Source organism: Homo sapiens, chromosome 2 (genome assembly GCF_000001405.40).
Source record: "Homo sapiens chromosome 2, GRCh38.p14 Primary Assembly".
Classification (NCBI taxonomy): Eukaryota; Metazoa; Chordata; class Mammalia; order Primates; family Hominidae; genus Homo; species Homo sapiens.
Genome location: NC_000002.12, coordinates 96,468,893 through 96,471,849, shown reverse-complemented (window position 1 = coordinate 96,471,849; position 2,957 = coordinate 96,468,893). Strand labels below are relative to the sequence as shown.

At 47.8% G+C, this 2,957-nt stretch overlaps 1 annotated feature.

The window, feature by feature from the left end:
- Positions 852 to 1,081: a silencer, noted in NCBI's record as "silent region_11766". NCBI's record gives its function as "represses an Ori minimal core promoter by ATAC-STARR-seq in GM12878 lymphoblastoid cells {active_cell/tissue: GM12878}" and the evidence as "EXISTENCE:reporter gene assay evidence [ECO:0000049][PMID:35858748]".

Sequence of the window (2,957 nt, the reverse complement as noted above, 5' to 3'; positions counted from 1 at the left end):
TGCCTAATTCATAAATTAAACTTTATCATAGGGATGTATGTATACGAAATAAACAGGGTTGGGCCTTGTAGCTCAGGCCTGTACTCCTGAAAAACACTTTGGAAGGTGGAAGTGGGAGGACCTCTTGAGCCCAGGAGTTTAAGACCAGTCTGGGCAATAGAGTGAGAACCCTCTCTCTCTCTCTCTCTCTCTCTCTCTCACACACACACACACACACACACACGCACACACACACACGGAAAAGGGGGAAAAAAACCCTTGGCATATGTAGGTAGGGTTCAATGCTATCCATGGTTTCCGGCATCCACCGGGGGTCATGGAACTGTCATGCGCCGATAAAGGGGACTACTGTACCACGTTTTGTTTACCCGCTCATCTGCAGACAGACCCTTGGGTTATGTCCACATTTGGCCTATTATGAGTGACGCTGCTGTGAACATGAGTGTACAAATACCTGTTCGAGTCCCTGCTTTCAATTCTTTTGGATGTATGTATACTTAGAAGTGGAATTGCTGGATCATATGATTATTACAAAGGGCTTTAACATGAAATGATGCCAGAACTCACTCGTAAGAGAAAATGAGAATTAAATCTCTAGTAGGCGTTTTCATCTATAAGACTGACAAAGGTCCTGAATTGATGGAATGGGGGCGAGGGGCACTGTGCACCCTTTTTGTTCCTTTTGAATCATACGATTTTGCCTATCCATGTACTCCCTGGGGTCTGCTTTTACCCGCCCCACAGGAACAAGCGGAGGGGTCTTTTGGACCCAGGCCGCGGCCCCAGATTCCTGGAACCCGATTTCGGATTCCTGGCCGGACTCCCGCCAACCCCGCCGTGGCCCCTGGGGTGTCCGCGGCTGGAGGGAAGCGCTTTCCCCTGGGGCCTGGCCCAGGTCCCTATACTGCACCCTGCCTCAGGCTGGCACCGCTGGCACCGCGGCTCTGGGCCACCCTGGGTGCGGCACAGCAGCCTGGGGCGAGGTGGGCAGGCCCCGTCTCCTGCCTCCCGCCTGCAGGGGCCCAAGGCCGCCCTCTACCAGTCCTGGAAGACAGTGACCAGCGGGTTGCCAGGGACCGAGAAGCCCGCACGGACCCTCCTTGGTACCGCCCTCTGCCGGTGGGTCGCGGGGCTGGAACCCTGCGCAGGTCCCTCAAGGGGTCTCCTTCCTGTTCCCGCCCTGTCCCATCCTGCCTCCCCAGTCTTCTTCTGCCCCTTCCCCTCCAGCCTGCAGGCTCCTAGTACCGCGGACCCTGCAGCTTCGGGCTCCGTCTGACTATTTGTGTTCAATAAACATTTGTTGAAGTGATTTAAGGAAATAAATCATACACAGGAGACTTTCGTTTGAAAGGGAAGGACCCTAGGAAGAGAACTATAAAACCAGCCTTAGGACATTAGAGAAAATCTGAACAGATGGAAGGCATATCACATTCTTGCATAGGAATATTTTTGCATGGGTAAATAAATGACCAAGGTCTGCAAGATAAGCATGAAAAACAGCAGCCGGCGGAACCAAATGAGGACATTTTGTAACCAACCGATATAGTGTCTATGTGGGAAGAGACAACTAGATTCCTGGAACAGTGAGACAATTCAGGAAGGGAGTCCAGTATATGCGAGGTTAACGGATTAAAAAGGAAGCGTTACAAGTAAGAGGGAAAAGCTAGCGTGTCCCCTCAATGGCCCTGGCCAACCTGTCTCTCCATCAGAAGGAAATAAACTGGACCCTCTCACACACCACAATCCCAAACTGAATTCTAGATGACGTTATAAATGTTAAAATAGCCAAAACCAAACCAAAGCAAAACTGAAGAAACCTAGGAGACTGATTCTTAGCCAAAATAGGAAATTCAGAAGCTATAAAAGACAGACATGTTTGCTTATATAATAATTTTAAAACTTTGCATGGTGAAGAATACCATCAGCAAATTTAATAAAGAAACAGATGCCGGGCGCGGTGGCTCAGCCTGTAATCCCAGCACTTTGGGAGGCCGAGGCGGGCGGATCACAAGGTCAGGCGATCGAGACCATCCTGGCTAACACGGTGAAACCCCGTCTCTACTAAAAAAATACAAAAAAAAAATTAGCCGGGCGTGGTGGTGGGCACCTGTAGTCCCAGCTACTCGGGAGGCTGAGGCAGGAGAATGGCGTGAACCCGGGAGGCGGAGCTTGCAGTGAGCCGAGATCGCGCCACTGCACTCCAGCCTGGGTGACAGAGTGAGACTCCGTCTCAAAAAAAAAAAAAAAAAAGAAAGAAAGAAACAGATTGGGAAAATACTATCTAATAATACTATCTCATAACCCAAAGGACAAAGGATCATTCTCTAGAATACAGTGCGTAGTATACAAAGAACTCTTACAAATTTGCAAGAAAAGATAACACAATTTTAAAAAGTGGACAAACGACACAAACAGAAAATTCACAGAAGAGCAATCCAAATGGCCACTCAACTATAAAAACATTCTCAAGTGTATTGGTGGTTGAATAAATGCAAATTAAAGTCACAATGCTGTATCATTTGTTATCATGGAGGGCAGCCATGAGAGCTGTGGCTGGAGTTTTCCCCTTACAGGGCACTGCTTCAGGTTTTGGTAAACAGCAATTTGGCAACCTGTACTAAAATAAAACATACGCATACTTTTCACTATTGTAATTCTAGAAACAGACACACCACCACATCAGAACACATGAAAAAAGTTGTCAATGGCAGCACTGTGAATAGAGGCGGAGCACAGACGGAGCGCTCATCAATGAGGAGGTGGGTGGATTAAGATGCGTCCTCAAGGTGAGTGGCAGGAAGCAATGAGATGAAAAAATTGGAGCTCTGCTCTTTAACTTGTAGGCTTTCTACGAGGTATTTGCAAAGATGTATGTTTAATAGAATTCCACTTTTGTAAAACAAATAAGGGCCAAAATCTCCTATGCATGTCTGTGTACACACACAAGCGCGTGCACA